At 41.0% G+C, this 26,136-nt stretch overlaps 1 protein-coding gene across 24 annotated transcripts in view; it reads left to right on the top strand.

Annotated features, from left to right (window-relative positions):
* The window catches only part of TENM2 (teneurin transmembrane protein 2), a 1,285,129-nt gene that overhangs the window by 760,926 nt on the left and 498,067 nt on the right, over positions 1 to 26,136 (top strand). For 6 of the 24 annotated variants that reach the window (XM_017009664.2, XM_047417424.1, XM_047417425.1 and 3 more), the window contains exon 1: positions 14,975 to 15,238. The exons of 14 other annotated variants lie outside the window; for them this stretch is intronic. In XM_017009664.2, the coding sequence (XP_016865153.1) occupies positions 15,100 to 15,238 (139 nt within the window). In that variant the 5' untranslated portion in view covers positions 14,975 to 15,099. Of the gene's footprint in view, positions 1 to 14,819; positions 15,239 to 26,136 lie in introns of those variants that run through there. 4 more of the 24 variants (XM_017009663.3, XM_047417421.1, XM_047417422.1 and 1 more) reach the window with 1 other exon arrangement.

The raw sequence follows: 26,136 nt of genomic DNA on the forward strand, positions 1-26,136 counted from the left end.
TTTTTCTGTGTAAGAACTTGCTACAGATGCTACTAAAATAAAATCCCTGGGATAATTAGCAGATGCGGGGGTTTCTGCGATGTTTCATTAGTGAGTGGTGCTGGTCTAGGAGACTGCCAGCTTGCTTACTGCACTCAAAAAGCAGGGTTGTAGCTGCCATTGTTTGGATTTGCATATGTTCTTCCCATTTTCACTTACCGCCCCTTTGCCCAAGAAATCACCTCTCCAAATCGACAATGACTTTCCAAATCTATATGTCTTTGCTTTTCCAGTTACTGCCTTCTCTTCATTTACCCAGTCACATCGGGTTATGGAAACACAAATGCAGAAACGTGCCCAAATCACTGTGATCTCAGAAATTCAGAGCCGTTTGCATTTCAGCTTAAGGCAGCAGCTTCTGAACTACACTGAATAGAACTTGGGAAACCTCGTGCACCCAGAACTGATAGAATGCTTCTCTTGTGTGTTTTTGGATTGTGCAGTCAATTGACATTTTGTTGACACTACTTCCCTTCAATTTCCCTTTCTATATAATTTCAATTCTCCTTCTTCTAGGATTTCCCATTGCTATTTCCAGTGGCTTTATATCATGGCTCAGCCGATCTTTGAGAAATAATGCCAGGCCTCTCTCTGTTCTTTTGTATCCCGCGTGCTACCTGATTCTTATCTTACCTGTGCAAACACAAATGGGGTACGGCCAAGAATAAGAATAACACTTTAGCCTCAGTTACTGGGCCTAGGGACCCGTGAGAGGGATCTGATATAGCTCAATCAGTAGTTGGCTGTCTTCTTTATTCTGCAAGACTGATGATCAGGACAATCCTTCCTCTTACTGAAACAATATATTCCTAACCTCATTTTCAAATTCCCTCTTGGTGATCCCTAGGCCCTCCTTGACTTCATCAGCACCCACTGCTTCCTCCCGCTACTGGGCTCCAACCACCTCAGTCTTCTGTCAACCCTGCAGACGTGCCAAGCTCATTCCAACGTGAGAACCTTGGCATGTCTTCTGTCAACCCTGCAGATGTGCCGAGCTCATTCCCATCTGAGAACCTTGGCACTTACTGTTTCCTCTTTGTTGTACACTCTTTCCCTATAGCTGCGTCTTGTCCTTCTCCTCAATCTGAGAAGCTCATTCTTATGCTCAGAAGTTACCTCCTTGAAAAAGCCTTCCCTGAAGTTAAGTGATTTTGCCCACTCCACCCAGTCCCTATCTTTTCCACTGTGAAATTCTTTCTTCTTCTTAAACTTGGTACTGTCAAGAGTAAGCTCCACAGACTTTGGCACTTTATGTTGTGGCCACTATTTTTTTCCAGCATCCTTAACTGTGCCTGTCCCAGATTAGATGCTCAACAAGTATGTGTTGAATGGATAGATTTAGGAAAATAGGGTTAAGAAAGGATGAGTTAGAGAGGAAAAATAAGATTCATGATCTTCAAAAAGGAATCAGTGGAGAAATGGCCTTGTTGGTTCAGGTTTTAGCACTTAAAGTGTGTTGTTCTCTTGGATTTTCCAGTTGTGGGTCATCTCTGAAAAGGGGCAATGTCTGCAGCAAGTCTGCCTTGGCTTCACACACAGTCTTCAGCTATTACCTCTACACAAATTCCTCTCAGATCTACAGGTCCGGGAATGGAGGCCCCTAATCACAGCATCTCCCCTGATTTTCAGATTCTGCTATCACCTCAGCTTCAACATATTGAAAAATCATTGTTACTTCTGGTTCAGCGACTCAGTCTACCTTCTCACTTGCCTTGTTAACATACCACCATCTTCCGCCTTTCTTCTCAAGAAGAAAAAAATCAGACCTCACTGACGCTTCACCATCTTCAGCCCCTCATTCCCAATGTATCTAAAAGGAGCTGTGCCACTTTTTAGAAAATCAACCCTCATGCATTCGGCACCTGTTATTATTTCTAGAAACTGTATTAAGCCTGTGGACAAACAGGGCCCTGGTTGTCATGGAATTTGAAGCCACCCTTTTCTGTTTTGATTGGATGCAGGAACAATGAGTACACACCACACCCAGAGTCCATCCCTTGTCATATCAAGTCCCTCTTTCTTCAAAGACAACCTCCTACCTGTATCTTGCAGATTATTGCCAAAAGAAATATCCTAAGTGGCAATTAATTGCTCTACTTTATCTTCATGAACCTAAACTAACTCTGTCATAAGCCTAGAGTTTTCTTATGCTGAGCTTTTGAAACTTTTCATAATCTGATATTCACTCTTAACTAATTCCCACATTCCCCCAATAATTCCCACTTTTCCAGCCAAGATATTTGGAGCTCACTATCCCCTTAACTTTTATTTTTATCCCCTTAACTTTTGTTTTTATTCCTATAGTGCTTACCCCAGAATTTAAATTTGAATGGAACCACACATATTATTTAACCCAACCTCTACATAGATAAATTAAAAAAAAAAAAACCCTGAAGTTCACAGGCTTAAAGTCAGAAAACTAATTCTAAAAATAGTATTTCCTGATTTTTAAGGTTCTTCACCCAATATATTGTCATTTTTTCTTGCTGTGTATATGTCCATGTGGTTAGTATGTTAGCAGCTCCTATCAGAAACCAATCAACGTTCTCAAACAAAATGGAATTAAGAGAGAGCTTTTGTTGAGTAAACTAGGGAAGAGGAAAAAGGGAAGGAGGCATTGGGCTAAAAGAACTCATGTTTGCAGATTTGAGTATCTGTGTTCCATTCATTCAAATTTGCCATCTGGATCATTAGAATATAAGATGCCTAAGCTTTGGTAGGCTGAAGCAGAAGTATCACTTGAGGCCAGGAGTTTGAGACCAGCCTGGGCAACCTACCTACCATCTCTACCAAAAAAAAAAAAAGAAAGAAAGAAAGACAGAAAATTGGCTGGGCATGGTAGCATGTGCCTATAGTCCCAGCTACTCAGGAGGCTAAGGCAGAAGCACAACTTGAGCCCAGGGGTTTGATGCTGCAGTGAGCTATGATCATGCCACTGCATTCCAGCCTGGGTGCTGGGTGACAGAGTGAGACCTTGTCTTAAAAACAACAACAACAACAACAACAACAACAACAACAACAACAACAAACCACCCATTCTGAGCCGCCATATCGATAATCCAAATCCTTGACTTCCTCTCAACACCGAACAAAACAACATACACACCTACACATGGTTGTCTTTTGTCTTTTAGTATAAGACCTGGGACTACACTTACTGGAGAGCAGCTGAGGCTAGAGTGTAAAAGTCCAATAGTTGTTGACTAATAGTGCCTCAGTGGTAGTTCCAATATGCCAGTTAATGCATAATGTCTCCCCGCATGAAACCTGATCAAAAAGCTTTAAAGCTGCTTGGCCCCTACTGTTTGCAGAGGGAAAACATGGGGACTGAGGGCCTTAGAAGGAGGGGCAATGTGAGCGCATTGAGTGACTGGGCAAGACATCATTAGAAAGACAAAAAGAGACATCATTCTCAAAATGCACTGCGTTGCAAAGAGGCCACGATTCTTAAATGATGTTTAGGGTAACTATTCGAACCGACAAAAAGGCTTATCAAACAATTAAATAAATAAATAAGTTTTTAAAAAGCAGTCTTTTCTTTTTCTTCCCTGTGTTTGAAAACCTTCCCATTAAGAGAACACAATATGCAATGGCAAACACGGCTCAGCCTCATCAGGAAAAGAGAAAATTGTTTGAAATAAACCTCAAAGAGAAAGAAAAAAGCTGTCATTTTCTTTAAGGACACTATTATGTTCTTATTGACAAGACAAAAGAGTAATAAAGTTAAATTATAGCAACTATAAGCTTGATAGTTCGATTGGAGAGAAATAGAGAAACCTTTGCTATTAAAAAGAAAAAGAAAGAAGAAAAAGTAGATCTTTTAATCAGCCCCTACTGAAGCGATGACTACTGACCTTACCCCTCACTGAGAGCATTCTTGAATCTGTTCCAGGGGCAACATTCCTACCTCATTGATACAATCCAGGAATTATGAAACTAGAAGTGAGCTTGAATAATCATTATGCTGGAGTCTCTTATTTTATAATTGGAGAAACCCATGTCTATAGCAGTTAAGTGGCTTGCCTGTGCTCACACAGCTTTTGAATTTCAAGGTTAAATTCTAGAAACCAGCAGAAGCTAAAACTTATTTTCTCCAGACACAGAATCTGTTTATTCAGCCTTATTACAAAATCATCATGCTAACAACAAATTCATGGTGATTATCCTGAAATCTATCTCCAAGCATATTTGGAGATTCTGAGTATACTTACTAAGCTCTTACGGATTCAGGGTCCCAAATTCCTCCTCCCTGTCTGGACTAGGCATCAGGCAGTTGAAGAAAAAGCGTCAGGAGATCCCCATCCTTCCTCACTGCTGTATCTTGATGACAGTCAACATCTCTTACCCACACAGTCTCTTGTTGGAACAGGAACAGTGCCTCTCTGGCCCCTGTTGTGAAAAGAATGAAGCAAAAAGACCCTCCTAGCCATGACTGAGTTATGGGACTCTTCAGAACTGCAGTGAGAGAGGCCAGACACCTTAGAAGTGACAAGTTCTCCCTTGTAATATATAGTAGGAGTTCAGAAAAAGGAAAATGCAATGATTTTTAAGTACTTTGGGCCATTTTCCTCTCTTGCTTCTCTCCTGGAGAAGTCTGGACACGTTTTTATTTGGAAAGGTGCATTGTGACATTTTATATCGTTCCTTCCACCTATTAATAGCTCTGGCCGCCCCAGGTGCTCATTTTCAAGACACCCTCAGAGAAGGGGGACTTCTGGCAGCCACTCTGCAGCTGATAGCTTTGGGGAAATGGCAGGTTTTAATTGATGTATTGTGGACACTGTTCTTTCTTTCTGTCTGTCTCTCTCTAAAACAAAACAAACAAACAAACAAAACAAAACAAAACAAAACAAAAAAACCGTGATGGGTTTAGTATCCTCCTAGGACCTAGGACCTATAGATTTTAATATGTCAATTATTCCCCTTTTATGGGAACTTGTATGTTTGTGACTGACTCATGGTCTTCCAGGTATCTTTTTGTCTCCATGTGACACTGAGCACCAAGTATCAACATCACCTGTCTCTCTTTGAATAAACTTTCTAGACAGGCAACAACCAACAGCCCCTATATAGATGCTCATCAGAACAGCACGTCATATGAATTCTTCTCAAATTGGTGGATTGACTGTTAATCATTACAATGAGATGGAATTGGAAAGTAGGGCTAAAACGCAGGAATGTGAAGTACCAAAATTTCTTATTTAAAAATAGTCCAGGTGGCTACCCCTGATGGAGGCAATGTTGTCCAGGCCCGCATTTCTGCGGACATTGGCTGCTCCAACCATCCTCTATAATTCTGGCTTGTTGCAAGTGCTGCGAAGACAGCAATGTATTTCCCAAGAGCCTCAGAGAATGTTGGCTCTGCCATCTCTGCCCAAAGAAGCCAGTGTCTCCATGCTGGCTATGGTGTGGAGCTCCATCGTAAGCCTTGAGACACTGTTCTCAATATGAAATGTAGGGAGATTTCTTACTGCTGAAGTTCCCCTCGGTATTCTCACACACTTTTTAAAAAATAGCTTTTTGAAGTATAATTCACATACCATAAAATCCACACATTAGAAGCTATTTTTAGCTTTCCACAATTTTCAGCAAATTTATGGAGTTGAACAACCAACAACATCCTCCACTTTTAGAATATTTTCATCATCCAAAAATTCCCTACTGGCCATTTGCTGTTAATCTACTCTACCCCCAGTCCTAGCCAATACTGATCTACTTTTCTTGTCTCTATAAAAGTGAGGTTTCTGGGCATTGCTTATCAATGGGCTTATATAATGTATTACATGATGGTTTGTAGGTTCATCTATGCATAGCATGTATCAGTAGTTCATTCTTTTTATTGCTGAATGGTATTCTGCTGATACAGGTTTACCACGTTTTCTTTATCCAGCAGTTGATGGACATTTGGATTGTTTCCAATTTGGGGCTCTTATGATGCCATGGACATTCACATGCATTTCCTTCTATGGATGTATGCTCTAATAAGCTTCTTAAATGCTACTTCTTACATGCCCCTGTGCCCCTAACTATGCTAATCACTTTAAACGTATTATTTCCAGCCTTTGCAAAAACTGCTGAGATAGGAATTTTAACCAAGAAACCAAAGCTTATAAAGAAGCAACTCACTTGAAACAATGTTTCCAGAGCCAAAATTCAACCCCGTACACTTCGGACTATGCCAAGCAGTCTCTATTACTCCCTAACAAAAAAGCAGGCATTTCCACGAAGCTTGCACACGAAACCCAATGGCTCACCCTACAGCCATACTAGGGAGTGTTGCCACCTTAAATGGATTGGAGGTTTGCAAATCCACCCTAGGACTTCATGTACAAATATTCTCTTCGAAATTACAGCAACCTCAATGGTCACTTCAAACCCAATTTTGACATGGATACATAGATCGATGCAAATGTATCAATTATCTGCTTTATGCCTAGAACCAAGTTGGGTAAAGTGAGGAAACAAAAGGTGAATGACAAACAGCCATGGCCCCTTGAGGTCAGCATAATGGGATGACCAGCCTCATACACACATGTCTGAATTACGTGGAACCAACTGCACATATAATGAGAGCTTCAATTATTTAAGAATCTGTGCCAAGACTTAAGCCACTCACGACTTGTGTGTCATCTACCTTTTTCCTTTTTCAGTTATGTGGGCACTGTAGAGCTAAATTACCAACAGAGAGAGAGAGAGAGAGAGAGAGAGAGAGAGAGAGAGAGCTGGACTCTACACAATTAGTGAGCTACTCAGAAGATATTCAGTGGAAACATTTTGGAAATGTTATTATTTAAGGCAGCTGGATAATCTGCAGATATGTGTGTGTGTGCGTCTATGTGTGTGTGCGTGTGTGTGCATACACACATAAAATCTTCCTGGAAGCTTATAGACATTTTGTTTCATTTATACATCTCACAAGTCTTTATTAAACACCTAGTTGCAGACATAGTGCAACGTGTTAGCATAGTGCAAAATGGTGTTCCCTGCCCTTCTGAAGCTTACAGTTTCATGTAGAAGATGTATATTAAATAAAGAGATTAGTTATTAAAATTATGAGAAGTGCTATGAAGAAATAGAGTATGTCAAGGGAACATTTGCATTTACACATGTGTCAGGAGCAGAAGGTGATGAGCTGATATTTAGCTTTGCATTAAAACAAAACGAAAAACCCAGAGCCAAACAAGAATAAAGAACCTTTCAAGCCAATGTGGGGAGGAAGAATTCCCAGTGGGCAAGTGATATATCCTGGTGACTTAGAGTAGGAGGCTGGCAGGAGAGATGAAGAGAAATAGACATGTTTATAAATGGAAAGCCCTTCCTTCTGGGTCTTCTTAAAATATTCTGCAAATCTTCCATAAAGATTGGCAATTTCTCTATCAAGGCTGGGTAACCTCATATATCAATTCTCCATTTCCCTGCCCAAGTTTGTGATAACATATCTTCCATTAACCTATGCTGAAAGAGCCATTTCTATTCTAAGAATCTATTTATGTTCCCCTACAACTTTCTCAAAGATATGCCTCTGGGTTGTAATACCTCACGCTGATACTCAGCTCAAATGTGAATACTTTTGCCACATTTCGGTAACATTGATCGAGACTTTTCTGAGTCATTTGATCATGGGGATGTGGGGATGTCTTCTCTTTGTGGGGAAGAAAATGACATCCCTTTCATTTGAAGGGACTAAGGACTGAATTTGCTTTTTCTGTTACTTGCCATAAATTTGGTCTTCATTGTCAACAGTATCCTATGACTATTTTTCCAATTATTTCATGAATTAGGACACAACAGGTAATCTTATTTCTGACATTTATTTGAATAAATAAGTGTATCTTCCTATTCTTATCTCTGTTTTTATTACCTTAAGTAACACACTGAATTTCATTTCAAGTCCCTCTCTCTCTATTTTCTCAATTCTTTGCACAGTTTCTTATGAAGCTTCTCTGGTTAATTTCTGTTACTTTCCAGTTGTCAGAAACCTTTAGGTATGTGATCGTTTTTCCTGAAAGATCTCTAGGATAAAAGTCTAGTTTTACCTTTCATAATCCCCACATCCTATCAAATCTGCTTTTTGAACATGTACTTTCCTGTACCACTTTCTACTGAAGAATTAGTTACCCTTTTTCCTTTCAATTGCCTGTAGTCATTAACAGAAATATTTTCCATCTGTCACTCTCCTATTTGTCTTTATTTCTCTTTTTTGGTAAGAAGAGCATATACAATTGCTTCCACCCTACATTTTGGTCAAATTATTTTGTGGTACGGATTGAAAAGTTTTTATAATTGCACCAAGTTTCATTGACCCATATTAAAGGTGTCAGTGTGCAAAAAAATTTCTATCTGTATAAGCTACTGGTTTTCCATTAAAATAAGAATGATTTTTTTTAGAGGACAATTTTTTAAGAGACAAGATCTTGTTCTATCACCTAGGCTGGAGCGTAGTAGTGTAATCATAGCTGGCTGCAGCCTCTACCTCCTTGGCTCAAGGAATCCTCTCACCTCAGCCTCTTCAGTAGTTGGAACTACATGGGACTACAGGCACATGCCACCACTCCTGGCTCTTTTTGTGTGTGTTTATTAATCCATTTTCACATTGCTATTAAGATACTACCCAAGACTGGGTAATTTATAAACAAAGGAGGTTTAATTGACTCATAGTTCCACATGGCTGGGAGGTCTCAGGAAACTTACAATCATGACAGAAGGTGGAGCAGGCATGTCTTATATGGTGGCAGGGGAGAGAAGTGCAAGTAGGGGAAATGCCAAACACTTAAAACCATCAGATCTTGTGAGAACTCACTCACTATCATGAGAACAGCGCGGCGGAAACCACCCCCAGGATTCAATCACCTCCCACCGGATCCATCCCTCAACACATGAAGACTGTGGGGATTACAGTTCAAGATGAGATTTGGGTGGGGACACAGCCAAATCATATTGGTGGAGTTTTGCTATATTGCCTAGGCTGGTCTCAAATCCTTGGTCTCAAGCCATTCTCTCCCCTCAGCCTCCCAAAGTGCTAGGATTACAGGTGTAAGCCACCATGTCCAGCCTATTTTTGTATTTGTATCTTCATTTTTTTAAAAAATGAAATTAGACATACTGGTTTCATTACATATTTCTTGGAATAATTATCACTTTTACCATAATAATAGAGAAACCGAGGAAAAACAAAAACAACAAAAAAGTGTTATTTGAGACAAAGACTATACAAGGCATTATACTAAGAACGGATATGAACAGAGAGATTAAATAAGACATTATTCCTGCCTTTTAAAGACTGACACTTCAGTAATTAAGAAAAAAATAAAAGATGTTCATATATCCACAATAAGATGAACATAAGGGAATAAAAATTCAAGGAAGCTGGGAACGGTGGCTCATGCCTATAATTTCAGCACTTTGGGAGGCCGAAGCGGGCAGATCATGAGGTCAGGAGTTCAAGACCAGCCTGGCCAACTTGATGAAACCCTGCCTCTACTAAAAATACAAAAATCAGCCGGGTGTGGTGGTGGGCACCTATAATCCCAGCTACTCAGGAGGCTGAGGCAGGAGAATCGCTTGAAACCGGAAGGCAGAGGTTGCAGTGAGCCAAGATCATGCCACTGTACTCCAGCCTGGGTGAAAGAGCTAAACCCCATCTCAAAAAAAAAAAAAATCAATGGGAAGAGAGCAATATTTATAATGGGCTGAGTAGTTTTGCACATTCAAGACTGATTCCTGGGACCCACATCTTTGAGATCAGCATGAGAAGAAGGGGAGGCAAAGTTAAATCAGTCAATGACTGTGCACTGGCATTTGAAACCTATATTTTTAAATGAGTGTCTTTGCTTTTCATCCTAAATCTTATAAACCATGTATAGTTTATCAATAAAGAGATCTGCCTTTTTCTGAGGGAGAAGAATTGAGGAGAAACTTGGGATCTGGAACTGGCTCAATCTCTGGCTACATTGCCTATTCTGATAAAATCCTCTTCACCATCATCATCTCCCTTTGCTTTGACCAGGTGTATTAGACTTTGTCAAAAGCAATGGAGATGATTTTTTCAAGGTTAGAAGGCATACCGGGGTGAACTGCAGGAATGGTTCATTATCTTCGGGGAATGTTAATGGCCCACCTCGAGGATTCTAAAGAGGGAAAGAATGAGCCAAACGACGCTTTGGATTAAACGATGAACTGAGTGTAAAGCCCACAGTAGAGGAGCTGGCACACAGTAGGTGCTCAATGAATAGAATTTCCCCATCACCCTTCCCTTGCCCTACGCTGTTACGGGTTGCAGCTGCTGTCCATATAGGCCTGTTACAGAGAGAGCAGCAGGTGTTTGCCAGGCGTTGACAGGGTAGGGAGTCTGATTCTCAGAGTTTGCATGTTTCTCCTTGACTCTTGATATCCTGAGTAATTCTTGACAAAGGCATTGTCCTCGTCATCCTGTAGTGGTCCTCTTCTTTTGACCTGCGCATTTTCTGGAGTTGTGAGCCATGTTATAAAGGGGATGAGTCCAGATGGGAAGCATCAGTGATGACCTGGCATTTTCTGCTGGGGTGATTGGTATACCATAGAAGCAGTTAATCAAGGACGGCCAAGGGGCTCCTAGAACACACGATAGTGGTACACCTACACTTTGATCCTCACTCTAGACCTCTGGGAGCCTTTTTGAATATTAAACTCATTAACCAAAGGAACCAGTCTGCCACTGATGTACACATTCCAGCCTGGGGTTTTCTTTTTTTAATAAAAATGATGTGGGTAGCTGATTCAGCATTACAGTGGTTTCTCCCCCAACCTCCAGAAGTATGTCAGGACTGTTATTTTATAGCATAACATGGCTGTTTAGAAGGTTTCTGAAAACCTAGAGCTTAACATTTTTCTGGTGCCATTATATCATATTCCACCAGTGTATCAGGAAATGTGCTTTGGGAAGGTCTTGAAGAAAATTTATAGAATAGAATGACAGCATGTAACATCAGGAGGACCTGACTTGCATATGATATCAGGAAAGGCTTCCTTAAAGAAGTAAACTGATTAGTAGAAGGTAGCCACAGGGAGGGAGAGGAGTGTATGTGAACTGGGAGGAAAAATGATGTATTCCAGGAGTTGAAAGGACAGGGTTGCCAGGGTGGAGAGAGGAAGCAGGGGAGAGGAGGGAAATACATGGTAGGAACTGGGCAAGGACCAGACCTTACAAGGTTTCATGGATCACCTTAAAGAGGTTCTTAAAGAGGTAAGAACCCTATGGACTCTGCCTTAACAAAACAGGAAGCCAGTGACAGATGTTTAAGAAGGGAGTGTAATGACCAGATTTGTTTTTAAAAGATCATTTTGCCTGCCATGTGAATAAAGGATTATAAAGACAGTAAGAGTGATATTGAGAGGACCGATAGGAGGTTGTCACACTGCAAGATGGCATGATGGCAGAGGATAGCATGATAATTTATCCTTGTCTTTTGGGAGTTTACAATCTAGTAAGGGAGTGGACATGTGTACACAGAATTATTACAGTGTTGCATGTGATAGTGCCATGAGAATTAAGCAAGATAAAGTGAGAAAGAGAGAGGTCACTTTTTGCAGAGAAAATCAGGGAAATAGCTTCTTAGATGACAAACAGGATCCAAGGAATGTAGTGGCCTGAGGTTTGTTTTGTTTTGTTTTGGGCTTGTTTGCTGTTATTTAGATTTTTAGATACAACTGTTTCCAGATTAATAAATTGCTTTAAAAGTAGCTTTCCCACTGTTTTGGTTTTTTTTAAGCTTCACATACACATACATTTTCTGTTCCAGTTCACATTATCTTTGTCAGGCAAGAAGAAAGCAGGTTTTATGGTTATATATGTAATTCCCTTTTAGACTGGAGTAAGTGAATTCCTCTATTTCTCTTCCAGGTCATCTGTCAGTCCATAAAGCCAGGAAGAGTTGAGAGACAAGTCTGTCTTCTTGAGGACGCGTAGTTTCTGTGAAAATAATACACACACACACACACACACACATGCGCGCACACGATTGTGCAAATAAATATGGGTATGATGCTTTCATCCTAAGAAATTCAGAATGAATTGCTTTTAGAAGGACTTACACAAAGTTCTCATGCAGCTCTTGGGGCCCCTTCTTTCCTTCTTTTTTTTCCAGATGGAGTCTCACTCTGTCACCCAGGCTGGAGTACAGTGGTGCAATCTCAGCTCACTGCAACCTCCACCTCCTGGGTTCAAGCAATTCTCCTGCCTCAGCCTCCTGAGTAGCTGGGATTTCAGGTGCCCGCCACCATGCCCAGCTAATTTTTTTTTTTTTTTTTTTTTTTTGTATTTTAAGTAGAGATGGGGTTTCGCCATGTTGGCCATGCTGGTCTCAAACTCCTGACCTCAGGTGATCTACCCACCTTGGCCTTCCAAAGTGCTGGGATTACTTGTGTAAGCCACCGTACCTGGCCTATTGGAACCCCCTTCTTGAAACACCTGTGTGAGCACCCTGCTTACCATCTACCAGTGACCACACCCACATAGGGTTCTATTTCAGTGAGACTACAGAGCCAACAAAGTGCACTAGTTAGCTGTGATGGAAAACCTACCAAGCTTTACTGATGGATCTCTGCTGAAAAGAAGTAGGCTAGGTTATACTGAAACCATGAGCAAGAAAAATGTTCAGCTGGTCATGTTGGGAGTCATTGGGAATATTCTAGCCCATGATTTCATTCACATTGGCTGAACTCTCAGCTCCACCTATACGTGAGCGTGGCTAGTCACCTAAGCTCTCTGAGTTTCTTTGGAAAAATAAAGTGGTTAGGCTGACTGATCCCCCAGATGTTCTGCAAACTCAGTTTCAGATATAGATTTCCATCCAGGAGAGCTGTGAACTGATTTTACAGGTTTAGCCTAGCATTGCAAGGATTTAGTTATATGGGTCTATACACAAGAGAGTACTTGAATGTGTCCTTCATACTGATGCCAGAAAAGTAGAGAGAACTCCTTAATTCCTCTAAGTATCTAGAAACACATTTTTTAGCCAAGGGGATGGTTGGCTATTTGAACGAGAATTTTGACTGTACCCCGTGGTTTCTACAATTAAAGAAATGGCATATCTGGACTTAGAAAGATAATGGTTTCCTAGGAGTTTGCATTCTTAGACCACACCCAGAAAATTATGTTTCGTTTGAGATTATGCAATTTAAGGATGTTGACAAATCTGAATGCATGCAAAGAAAAATGGTAAGGATGAAGAAAAACCCAGGAAGACTGCTATATACGGAAAAGTTGCTAAAAACTTGGAAGGGTTGGTCTGAAGGAGATTTAGGGATACATTACAGCTGTCTCAAATATTGTGGAGTACTGTCAGAGGAAAAGAAATGAGACTATCCTGGCTCTGTATTTCCTAATAGACCTGGGGTAAATCGATTGAAATTGCCAGGAGCTTAATTTGGGCTCAGTGTGGAGGAGAAATTTCTGACAACAATATGTAGCCAAGAATAGGATGGGATCTGATTTCCCTTGTGCAAAGAGTAATTAGGAAGAGACTGGATGTTGGTAATATTGATTGTGAAAAGCAGTGAGTTGTGTTTTTACATGTATTAATGCAATCTTCATGATAACCTGTTGATGTTGCTTCTGTTATTATTTCCATATTACAGATGAAGAAACTGAGGCACAGTGTGGGTAAGTCACTTGCCTAAAATCACACAGTTAGTAGGTGACAAAGCTGGGATTTGAACTCATGAATGTCCTATCGTCAATTTGGGAGGCTTAAACATGCTGACATGTTGCCTTCAGGTGGCCATCACATAGGTGGATAGTATTTCTGCCCCGGGTTTCCAGAATGGTCTTTGAAGAGCTCACTGATCATGGTGTATTCCATGGTGCATAACAGACAGATTCTGTGGTAGTACCTAATGCAGGCAGAGGTGCCTTCCTGCAGGTGTGCCAGAGTCTTTGGTAATGAGCCATTATGCTCCGTCAGTCATTCTGCTGTAACCATGCATAGTCATCCTGTTTCCTTCCTCACAGTATATGGAGTTGGGATGCATTGTTTCTTGGTAGAATTTACTTTGTCTGCCATATTGATAATATCCACTTCAGCAGCTACACTATGACATTCCCTTAAAAAAAAGAAAATTACAAAAATATCCAAAAGCCCTACTTTTGGGATATGCAGACTGCAACTATACTTTCCTTCCAGACATGATGGATAGTTGTTTCCCTATAAGATACTGCACCTTGTGTGAGTGTTGGAGAGAGATCTCTGCTTTATTGGCCCTTTGCACGTTAGGAAACACAATAAAAGAGGTAAAGTGCTTTCCAGTACAGGAAAGGAAAAATAATCCCTTTCAAACTTGATCAGATCTATCTAAAGGTAACCGACCAGGAAGGAGAACTGACCCCATTTCACATACAGGTGCTTTAAAATAATTTCACAACAGGTAGTTAAAATGTAACTATGCTGTGCTGTCAATCACATCTCGTCCTTCTGGATTTTAACGCTTGTTTTACTTGAGGGAAGATGATATTTGAACATTCTATAGCATCCGTCAACAGGAATGCGCACATGGTTTCAAATAAGGGTTTTCAGCCTTCTGAAACCAATTACTTCTGCCTAAGTGGAAATGCCAGAGCAGAGATGTGTCAGCAACTAAGAGAATAATTTAAAAAAAAAAATTAAGTATACACAGTGATGTCAGAAAACAACAGAAATTGTGCATTCCTGCACACACATGTACACACATGCACATGAACAAACCTTTTTAAGAGATATTTCAAAAAAAAAAAAAGTCTGTGTCAAACAACGTTAACCCAGAAAGATGCAGAAATGTCAGAGACATTACATGGGCAGGACTTGCGGTTGGCATTTGGCTGGCAGCGGGGGAGGCGTCCTCCCCAACTAATTCCTCAGGAACCTCATGCTGAGGCTGTCTACAGGGAAGGGAGCAGAAAGGGAGGAGGGAGAGAGCAGATATTGCCTATTATGCTTTTCCTTCCCAGCTGGAGAAGGCCTCAGCTGTGTCAGACTGGGACTGCTGGTGATTTTTCTGTAGTTAGAGGGAAACACAAAACGAAGAGCGGCCCACTCCCAGCTTACGCCGATGGTGAGCCCACCTCTCCTGATCATTAGCGTTGCTGGCACAATTGAATGCAAGCCAGATCATCTCTTATGGAGACCCGGCAGTACCTCACCTCAGTCTGTGAGTTTTCTCCATGGGAAGGTTGTGATGGAGTCTCTGGGTAAGGATGATGGATGTGCATGCAGATGGGGTTTTGCAAGCACCTGTCCTCACTGACAGGGTAGTTGGAGTATTTACTTTAACCCTTCAGCGGATACCAAGGGAGAGATGGGAGACTTGACGGTGAAACTATTTGATTTCGCACCGCAGTTGTCTTAACAGTAGTTGTGAATTCTTCTCACTGAGTCTAATTTCTAATTCCTATCAGGTTGTTGATCTGAATTTTTTTTTTGCTACCTTCATGATATCTGCCAGGTATTTCACCAGAAAAAAAAAATATGTGAAAATAAATATAAATATAAAATGGAATTTATTAACTGTAAACATCTGTTAAGTCAAGCATCCTGTGTCTATTGCTGAAATACTCTTTCAAGTGACTCTGTCTGCATCTGTCACATTTTTTTCACCCTCCAGAGACCTATTTGCGGTAGCTCTCTGTGTACTAATGAAAACGTGGGATTGGCTTTACCCTTTATTGTAGCTTGGTGTTAAGACATTTTTAAAATAGGCAAAAGGAAGACAGGGGAAATGATCCATTCTGTTAGCTGAATTTTCTTCAAAACATGGATTAGTCTTGCTGCTTGTATGTGATATTTAGCATGCTGAACAGGTTTTTGTGAAACTCCTGGTGTCTTCTGCTGCAGGTGGCTGGGTTTGTTGACAAATCTTCAGGTGTACCATTTGCCTTCAAAGAGGGTGCTGCTGTCTCATCAGTATAAATGGAGTGGTAATAACCCCTCACTTTTCTAGGGCAACGTATGTTTTACAAAGTATCTTCACTGTATTATTGAGTTGCTCTCATTTTATTAGGACATCAGCCCTGTGTGGCAGGTATTCCAGTTGTTATTAGCTCCATTTTTTAAACAAGGAAACTCAAGGCAAAAGACTCATCCAGGGCCACACCGTTAGAACTGGACATGTTGGTATTTCAACCCACTTCAATTCTCAAGCTTTGTTTTCTTATGTATATGAACTGTGGGTAGTATAGACACAACCAAACAAACCTAAGTTGCTGTTTCCATGTTGTATGATATATATATATATGTAATCCCACTTCCTTTTTGCTTCCTTAAGCCACACTAGGCACAGTTATGATGCAGAATGAGTTTAATTTCAGCATGCCCCACCTCTCTTTTCCACAACTCAACCCCACAACACAAGCTCATACACAGACTTCTGTTGCTCCCTTGGTTTAGGAACGTGGGTTCCTGAGATGCTGTGGGTTTCTCCTCATTTAAGGAGAAAATCATCAGTAAATCTGATAGGGTTTATAATACCTCTCATGAGTCCAGAGAAAACAAAGTGATGGTTCCACAGTGGTGCAATTTCATTTACCTCAATCTGAGTAGAAGAGATATGAGGCTCCAGGAGGAAATCCCCTCATCCTTTGAAACCCCACACTTCAATTATCTCAGAAGTTAGGAACAAGGACATGTATCCCCAGAAGCTAGGGAGGACAGATGCCCTCATGGAGACTCTGTGTCTTCTATTTCAACAAGCATAGTGTTCTCTCAAGAGTCTGCCAATGAGAAACCTTGAGAACTAGGAGCACCTCACCAAGCACCTAGGAACACATTGTAGGACAACTTAGATAAGCCCCACATGATCCAGGGAGACAAAGTCACCCCTCCCACTCCCACCCCCAGCTTTCTTCCAACCAAGGCCGTATTGCCAAACATCTGCATTCAGTGACCAGTTGCAGTTGGCCACTGGTTCTTTGAGAGAACACAGGGTGGGTTTTAAATTGCCCTGACATAGACCCCCATGAAATCATGTGAGACATCTCTTTTTGGGTTTTCCAAATATGCTTGGCAGTACTTTCTCATATACCTTTTCTTTCTTTTTTCTTTTTTTATTATATTTTTAAATTTTATATTATATTTTTTATTTTTTTATTATTTTTATATTTTTAAATTTTACTTTAAGTTCTGGGGTGCATGTGCAGAATGTGCAGTTTTGTTACATAGGTATATATGTGCCATGGTGGTTTGCTGCATCCATCAACTCATCAGCTACATTAGGTATTTCTCCTAATGCTATCCCTCCCCTTGCCTCCCACCCCCCAACAGGCCCCACTATGTGGTGTTCCCCTCCCTGTGTCCATATGTTCTCATTGTTCAACTCCCACTTATGAGTGAGAACATGCAGTGTTTGGTTTTCTGTTCCTGTGTTAGTTTGCTGAGAATGATGGTTTCCAGCTACATCCATGTCCCTGCAAGGGACATGAACTCATTCTTTTTTATGACTGCATAATATTCCATGGTGTATATGTGCCACATTTTCTTTATCCAGTCTATCATCGATGGGCATTTGGGTTGGTTGCAAGTCTTTGCTATTGTGAATAGTGCTGCAATAAACATACGTGTGCATGTGTCTTTATAGCAGAATGATTTATAATCCTTTGGGTATATGCCCAGTAATGGGATTGCTGGGTCAAATAGTATTTCTGGTTCTAGATCCTTGAGAAATCACCACACTGTCTTCCACAATGGTTGAACTAATTTACACTCCCACCAACAGTGTAAAAGCGTTCCTGTTTCTCCACATCCTTTCCAGCATCTGGTGTTTCCTGACATTTTAATGATCACCATTCTAAGTGGCATGAGATGGTATCTCATTGTGGTTTTGATTTGCATTTCTCTAATCTCATATACCCTTTCTTTTGCTTCAGAAAGAGAACAAGGGGTTTCACATTAGAAGAATTCTTTGTTGGAACAATTTTAATATTCTGAAGTCTTTTTCTTAGAGCATTCAAGTATGCCTTGGTTACCCTGTGGCATGGACAAATGCCCTTCCACCTCAGCCACAGTTTGCCTTCATGCATCTGTCAATACATAAGTGCAAAGTGATGTAGAATCTACCAGAGTTTGCACTGTGGGGTTGTCTTTTATACTTTCCTTTTTAAAGTAATCCTGAAAATCTCTTAGGAAATTGATGGAGGGTGGGTTCATAAAACCTCACAGTGTCAGAGTTGGAAGGCAGTCTAAATTGCATGTGGTCCCTATAGTGTCATTATGATGACCAAGAAATCAGTTCCCAGGGAGGCTGAGATTTGTCCCAGTTTACCATGATGGTGACTGTGCTGCATATTTTCTGTTTGTCCTTCACATTCTTTCATTCCATCAATATCTTGCTCTCTGCCTTGGAAGCTGACCCTATAGACTGGATCTGTGGGTGCTCTATCCTCTAGCTGATTGGCTCAATGGGAAGAGATCGAAGATCAGAAGATAGAAGGTGGAAGAGAGAGAGGCAGGGGCACTTCCTACCAGCTTGGAAGAGAGAGAGGCAGGAGCACTTCCTACCAGCTTCCTCCTTGTCATTGTGCTATAGCAGGCTGTTTTTCTGTATCTGAGACAGACATTCCCAGGTAGCCCTCTCCATACAGTCTTCTCTTTCTGGATTCTTCTAATCACTTCCACTTTTTTTTAGCTCTAGATCATTGCATGTTAGCTTTTATAAGCACTTGCTGGTTGTTAGGACTCACATTCTGTACATGGAAACATTTATTAGGACTCTGGTTCTGTAAGTGAAAAAATTCGCTGATTTTCTCGAGCCATGCACACTGACATAACTTCTGATTTCCAGAAACCTTGACCACAACTGTTTAAATAGTCCCCTTATTAAACTCTCTCATATTGCCAGGTTTGGGTGTCATCTGCTTTCATGCTAGGACCTTGATTGATACAGAAACAGCTAAAGCTAAAACTATAGCCCAGCTAGTTCTCTGTCTCCTTAACCCTATTCTATTTGCTTTTCCACCATACTGCTTTTACTATGGATACCTTGATACTTTGAATAAATAATAATTGTTTCATAAACACACAATTTTGATAGTAGATAACAGTAGCATGCAGTGGTTAAAAACATAGACTCAACATCTTGGGTTCAAATCCCAGTTCTGACACATACTAGATTACTTAACTAGCAAGTTGCTTAGGGTTCAAATCCCAGTTCTGACACATACTAGATTACTTGGGTTCAAATCCCAGTTCTGACACTAGATTACTTAACTAGCAAGTTGCTTAACTTCTCTGTGTCTCAGTATCCTCTTTCATAACAATAAGGCTATTGTGGAGATTAAATCATATCAGTTCCTTCAAAGAACTTAGCACATATGAGGGTGTTAAATGTTCATAAGTGCTCAGCACATGGTAAGTGCTCCATAAATGTTAGCTTTTATGAGTGTTGGCTGTTTGTTAGGACTCACATTCTGTACATGGAAACATTTATCAGGACTCTGATTTTGTAAGTGGAAAAATTTTCAGATTTTCTCAAGCCTTGCACGCTGTCATAAAATTTCATGAGGATAAAGTCATCAGTTCCCAGGAACACTGAAGAGTTACAGGGGAAGTGGGGAGGTGCAGGTAAGTGGGGGTATATATGAGTCACCAGAGGGACGTGAGGAGAGATGGGAAAGGAATGTAGACAACATCATGATGGACAAGCCTGGATGTGCCAGGAAGCTCTAATCCACCTGGGAGGGCTGTGAATCAGCCCCCTTCCAGCAGGGTAGGTGTCCAGTTTCTGGCTGGTTGACCTGGGAGGAGGCCATGGAAGCTGTTGCCCCATCAATCTATTGTTGAGAGATACAGCCATGAGCCTGGATGTTCCTACAACAATAATTATGCAAGAGCTAGTTTACAAAGGTGCTGACAAACCCCACCTGGAGACAGTATTTCTTTAGCTCCGAAGTGTGAAATAAGGTGTGATTTTTTAAAAAAACATAGATTCTGTTTTTCAGATATTGATTCTTTCTTTTGCATATTTGATAAATATTCAGAAATGTGAAATTGATTATACTTGAGCATGGTCTTACTTGAGCTTACTAGAGCGGTGGCTGTACTTAAGCTCTACATCTCTGGGTAGTCACTGTAGGTATTTGGAGAGAGGAGCTAAATTTCTGAACTGACTTATTTAAGTGGAATGCTATGCCCAGCTCTTCACTGGTTAAAACTCCGCATGGTACATTTTATCCTCAATGGCTTTGCTCCTGGTCTTCCTAAGGGTGCAATAAATTGTGGCTTCTCTTACCTAGAACCAGTTTCTTCTCTTCTATCATTAAATAGGGCACTGTCACATGCCTTTGAAAGAAAGAGAAATTAAGTCATCCCATCTTTTGTTGTTCAGGATGGTGACACTTTCTGTTATTACTTTAGGTCAGGCAAGGAAAGAATTTAATACACTGTTGGAAGGCATTGGACATAGGAGGAAGTGCATGGTGCTCTGTGGCCTCTGTGAGTTAGACTTAGGCCCTAACATCCAATTGCAGGCAATCGAGGCTTCTCCCACTTGTTCCCTTTCTCCTTGTTTTCTCTTTTGCCTTTATTAGAATTTTTATTGTTGGCCTGATTCTGATCATTGGTAATTGTCCCTAGAGTGGACAGCCAGTTTGATTTAGGTGGACTTGTAAATAGGTAAGTGTCAACAACAGGTTCCACAAGCAGCTGCCTTGTTATTGTTGTTGTTGCTGTTGTTGTTTTGAGACAGAGTCTCACTCTGCCACCCAGGCTAGAGTGCAATGGCATGATCTCGGCTCACTGCAACCTCTGCCTCCCAAGTTCAAGTGATTCTCCTGCCTCAGCCTCCTGAGGAGCAGGGATTACAGGCGCGTGCCACGATGCCTGGCTAATTTTTGTATTTTTAGTAGAGACGGGTCACCATGTTAGTCAGGCTGGTCTCGAACTCCTGACCTCAGGTGATCCGCCCACCTTGGCCTCCCAAAGTGCTGGGATTACAGGGGTGAGCCACCGCACCTGGCCTTACTGTTCTGTTCATGTCCTGCTGCAATGTCCATGTCCTTGCCCAACAAGTGACCCACTAAATGTCTCTGTGGCGGAAATGTCCAGGTCTACGGGTGACTAAGATAGTGAGTGAATGCCTTCTCCTATCTAAACTTTCTGCTTTTCCTCTTCTGTCTTTTGTAAAAATGAATCCTACTCTGAGCAAGCTGTTTAAAAATAAAGATCATCCTCTGTCTCATCCACCATCTTCACTGTCAGTTTCCTCTCCCCTGCTTATTTTCTTACTTTTACTTTTGTTTTTTGTTTTGAGTTTCTAACATGCTATGTAATTATTGATTATGTGATTGTCTGTTTGCCTCTACCCATTAACATATAAGCTCAACCAGGGCAGGAAACGTGTTTGTGTTATTCACTGATCTACCCCATCAACCCAGAATGCCGTCTGATACATGGTAGGCAGAATAAACGAGGAAACAAGTGTCCCAAAGAGGCCACTCCAAGAAATTCTTCAACCTCTAAAAAAGACCCAATATTATATTTCTCCACATGGAGAAATATGGACTGCTATTAGAAAAAAAAAATCATCCTAAAATCATGTTCTATCAAAATACCAAATATTAAAAGGGAAAATATCAAAAGGGAAGTTTTGCTTTCTAACTGGTCATTGTTTTAGTTTTGAATTATTAAGTTGAAAGCATAAAAAGAAAACCATCAAGTAGCACTTACACAGACCCACAAATGGCTCTGCAGACCATGGATTGAGGACCACAGGCCTAATGAGAAGTCACAGAATTCATCCCCAGGCCCTCCAAGGGAACTGGAATTTCTCACTTCACTCCCCAAGCTTCTGAGCAGCTGTACAGAGCTCTTGTGGCCTTGCCATTCCTCCTTCCATAGACACATTCAGCAATTATCATGTATCTGCTGAGCCAGAGATAGAAGCACAGAGGTAGTGCCAGAAGGGCCACTTCCAGCAATATCGCTGATTGAAAAAGTTTCCTCAACTTTGAATCATCAATAAGCTTCAACCAACGAGCTAGGAGTGCCATTGGAACCAGCGCCTCAGCTAGAAAGAATTAAGTACATGCAGAAGCGCTGCCTGACTTGGGGCTAGGTTGAGAAACACATAGTTCTTGATTCTCAGATGGCTCTTTGGAAGAAAAATCAAAGTGAAGTGACTAATTTTTAGTCTCTTTCTCTCTCCTCTCTCTCTCTCTCATGCATACATGCATATAAACACACACGTGCACGTGCATGGATACGCAGCTCTAAGGTTTTCTACAAGTGAGCTAAGAATATCCCTGGCTCCTTAGGAGGACAAAAGATCCCCTCCTGCACATCCCCAAAGACCTTTGTTTCACTCTTAGGTGTGGGAGAACTTATTTATGTCTAATCTTCTGCTTTTCAACTGCGTAAAGCATCAAAGCTTCTTTATCAGGTAGACTAAACTACATTAAGGATCAAAAAGAACACATAATATTTGTGATGGCCAATCATATTCTAGAGAGATGCTTCCCTCCCTTCCTCTCGTTATTTTCGTCTATTTCTCTTGCCCATGTGAAAACCTGGGTGATTTAAGCAGGTGCTCCAGTCTGCAGTGCTCTGGTTGTCAGTTGGCAATGGTGAGGTTAGGCATGAAAAGCCAATTTTAGATATTCTCCTGGTATTGATCTCTGCTTATCAGAAAGGCTTTTGCTGTGCCAGTTCACTTCTGTGCTTAGGCAAAGTCTTTTACAGATTTACCACCACAACTTACTCAATCTATTATAAAGTAGCATCAGCATGCAGGGTGTTTTTCCCCTTTCTTTGACCCAGTTTTAAAAACATCCAGCTAAAAATGCTTCATTAAGTTTACATAGAGGTTGCAAGGCAATCAGGATTCCTCCTGCAGTTGTGGCTGGAAGAATTTCTACAAGTCCTCTACATCTTCCGCTCCAAAAGCTGCTGTCTTTGGGGCTACAGAACATCTGCCATGTGCAGGAAATACTTTACCAAAATTCAATTGAACTGTCAGACTTTTTTTCCCACCCTTTATTCCTTTTCCATTATCACTGATTACCCAGCTTATAAATTCCCAGTTCACACTTTCTCTTTGACCTGACTTCTCCCTGTAGAGCAATTCCGGAAACCGGGACTGTGGCCCTAATGCACACACTATTAAATATTGGCACTCAAAGTCACAAGAGTGTATTCCAGCTCTCTTGCTGAAGGCAGCTGGTGCAAGGCTCACTGCTTAGAGAAAAATGTGGTCAAAGCAAGTGAATGCTTTAAAAGATCTTTTAAGAAGTAATATTTGGGATACCTTGGTTCATATTCCATCCTGTCTGGTGTGGTCTTTTTATTTCTTACCTATGTGGACCATAGAGAGCACAACTTTTACCAACAGGCTTTTCCCAGTTCACAAGTCTAAGTCATTTCATTCCTTCACATTAGATTCTTTATGCTGAGAGTTTCAAATGGCAGCCTCAAGCTCCCAAGCAATCAGCAAATGTCAAATGTCCCCAAGCACTGCAACCATCTGAGATACTGAGCCACTGCCTGCCGAATGAAGATTGTATTATTAGTAGTGTAATGTTTCTGGTGGGGCGGGGAATAGAAAAGTCAAAGAAAAGAAAAAAAGATGCTGTTCACAGACACAAGCTCAATTGTCTTCAATTGCCCAGCATTGTCTAAGAACCAAAGTCATTCTAACATCAAATCTGGGGAGAGTTTGCTAACTTCATTACCACTTATGTCTTGAATAAATGATAAATGGCAGTGCGCGCTTCTAACTTTTCATGAATTTGTTTTAATACCTAGAATTTTTCTTCTAGGTAGGCTGAACTTCCCTCACTTTAAATTGTCTGTTTACTTTAATTAAGCTTTCCTCCGGCTCTCCAACTTGTTGAGCTTGACAAGCATTAATTTACAGTGAGCATTTTTTTTTTCCTTTTTCTTTCTTTGATTTTTTCAACTTTAGCCCTCTCATCCTTGCCTGGCAAAGAACCCAATGAGTAACTGACAAGCAACTTATTACTAATCCCATCTTTCTTCGTGGGAAGGTGTCTCAATCAATACAAGTCAGAATTTCCAAGCCACTCCTGCTGATAGTGTGCATTGCGTGTCTCTGTGTTGGCTTCTTAGCGTAGGCATCTCAGATAGGATCTGGCAGACAGGGAGATGCTGAAAAATTCTCAACTTAACATTCCAGCTGTGACAAAGAGAAAAAAAAATATATTGTTAGGGATAAATTTGGGAGACTGCTGAGTCTTCCCTCCACTGCTTATACCCCAATTTTAAGCTACATGCTGCTATCCATTCTTTATGTCCTAGTCCAATTTGACTTCTGAAAAATTTTCAGTGACCCTCCCTTTCCCCCTACCACCCACAGTTAAGTAAGGTTCCTCATCCCTGCTCTGAGAACACCATCTGTTTTTTCCATCATAGTGCTTCTTATATCCTATTTAAATTAACTTAGCAATTTAATTTAAATTGACTGGATTGTCAGCTCTCCAAGGAGCGAGAAAGCCTGTCTTATTGTCATATCTCACCTGGCAAATCATAGCTTCTCAAGAAGGAGACCTCTATTGAATATGATTTGTAAGCTCTGTGATCTGGAAGCTAGAGAGAGTTCCCACTCTTGCCTTTGTGTTTCAGACAGTGCATTGAGTTACATGTGGCAAATTTTTACCTGCCTCTTTAGATCTAAATAGAGCGCATTCTTAGGTGGAACAGGGGCACTTGGAGACGGTGGGCCGGTGAGGATTGACTCTTTACTGTCCCAGTCTATCACCCGTATGCAGAGAAGATCAGGGCCAAGTTGCATATTTATGATCTCTGAATGAATGTGCCTTCCCTACTTGCCCACGGGGAGCTCTCCCCTGAGTCTCCCCTCTGCCAGACACACTCCTGTGCTTTGATGGATGGAGCTGACTGGGCAAATTGCTATGCTGATGAACTGCTCAGCTACCTGAGCAAATGTTCCAGAGAGATCTCCAGGGATATACCACATTTTAGAGAAGGATTCATCCCAGCCTGGGGTGAGCCTTTTAGCCCTTAGCAAGCTGAGTATGGTGGAGTAAGGAAGATGAAAGGACTACAGTCTCAGTTCTCACTTTTCTGCAACCCGAGTGCCTGTCCTTGGGCTGGCGAGAGGCCTTATTGCATTTTTCACTCCTCCCAGAAAGTTATTCAAATTGAGACCTACAGGTCTGGGTGTCACTATGCTCACTGAAAGAGCAAAATCAAGAAGCTGAACAGAAAGCACTTAAAGGGAGGATGCATTACCTTAAAATATGCAGATGGAAAACTGACATTATTGTCAATGTCAGAAGTCACCTTTCTGAGTAAACATTTACCTCTGGGCAAATGCAGGGATGTGTTTCTTTCCGTTTACAAATGACTGGGTATGCAAATGCAGGGGGTTAGAGTTGTGCCCCAGAAGGTGCAGTTGTCTTCTTTCATCTATCCATAACGAGGAACATGCAGGAATCTGTCAAAAAAGGCATCATGGGCTTGATTTGTACCTTCTGAATAAAGGGGATGTCAGTGTTAAATCTGCCAGCTGGTTTTGTGCCTAAGTGTTACATCAGTCTCTTGTATGATCTTGCATCCTGTGTAAAATGCAATATTTTGGCCTAATGGGCAGGATTAGCACGAGCTGGGAAGCCATAAATGAAAGTTTCTTGTTTCTAGAGAGCAAGTTAGAGCTTTTATATTATCTGCCGCGGAGCTCGGTGAATTTAAATGTATCTCTTGGGCTTTGGTAATATTCGTGTTAATGTCAAAATTGATCCCATTGTTATTGAGATGTGTGGTTTTTTCAGGCCGAAGATGCACAGAGCCTGTTGCCAGGGCTGATGAATATATGCACCGGACACATTCTTTCTAACCGTTTCTCAGAACCGAGTGATGTTGTCATGTTATCATGGTGCCTGCTACCATATACTCTTCACAGGTCTACATTTTTCTGTAAATCGCTTGTAAACTTAATTGATATGTATTGAAGACCTACTGTGTGCCTGGCATTTTGTTTGACTTTGGGGATCAAGCAAACACTGTTGCAACAGTGGGCAAGATCTGGGCTCTTTTGCCATAGGATTTATCCCTAGAAACACAGAGAGAGAGACAATAAAATAAATGAACAAGCAGAAATATTATAACTGAATATTTATGTTAG

This window comes from Homo sapiens, chromosome 5 (assembly GCF_000001405.40).
Source record: "Homo sapiens chromosome 5, GRCh38.p14 Primary Assembly".
Taxonomy (NCBI): domain Eukaryota; kingdom Metazoa; phylum Chordata; class Mammalia; order Primates; family Hominidae; genus Homo; species Homo sapiens.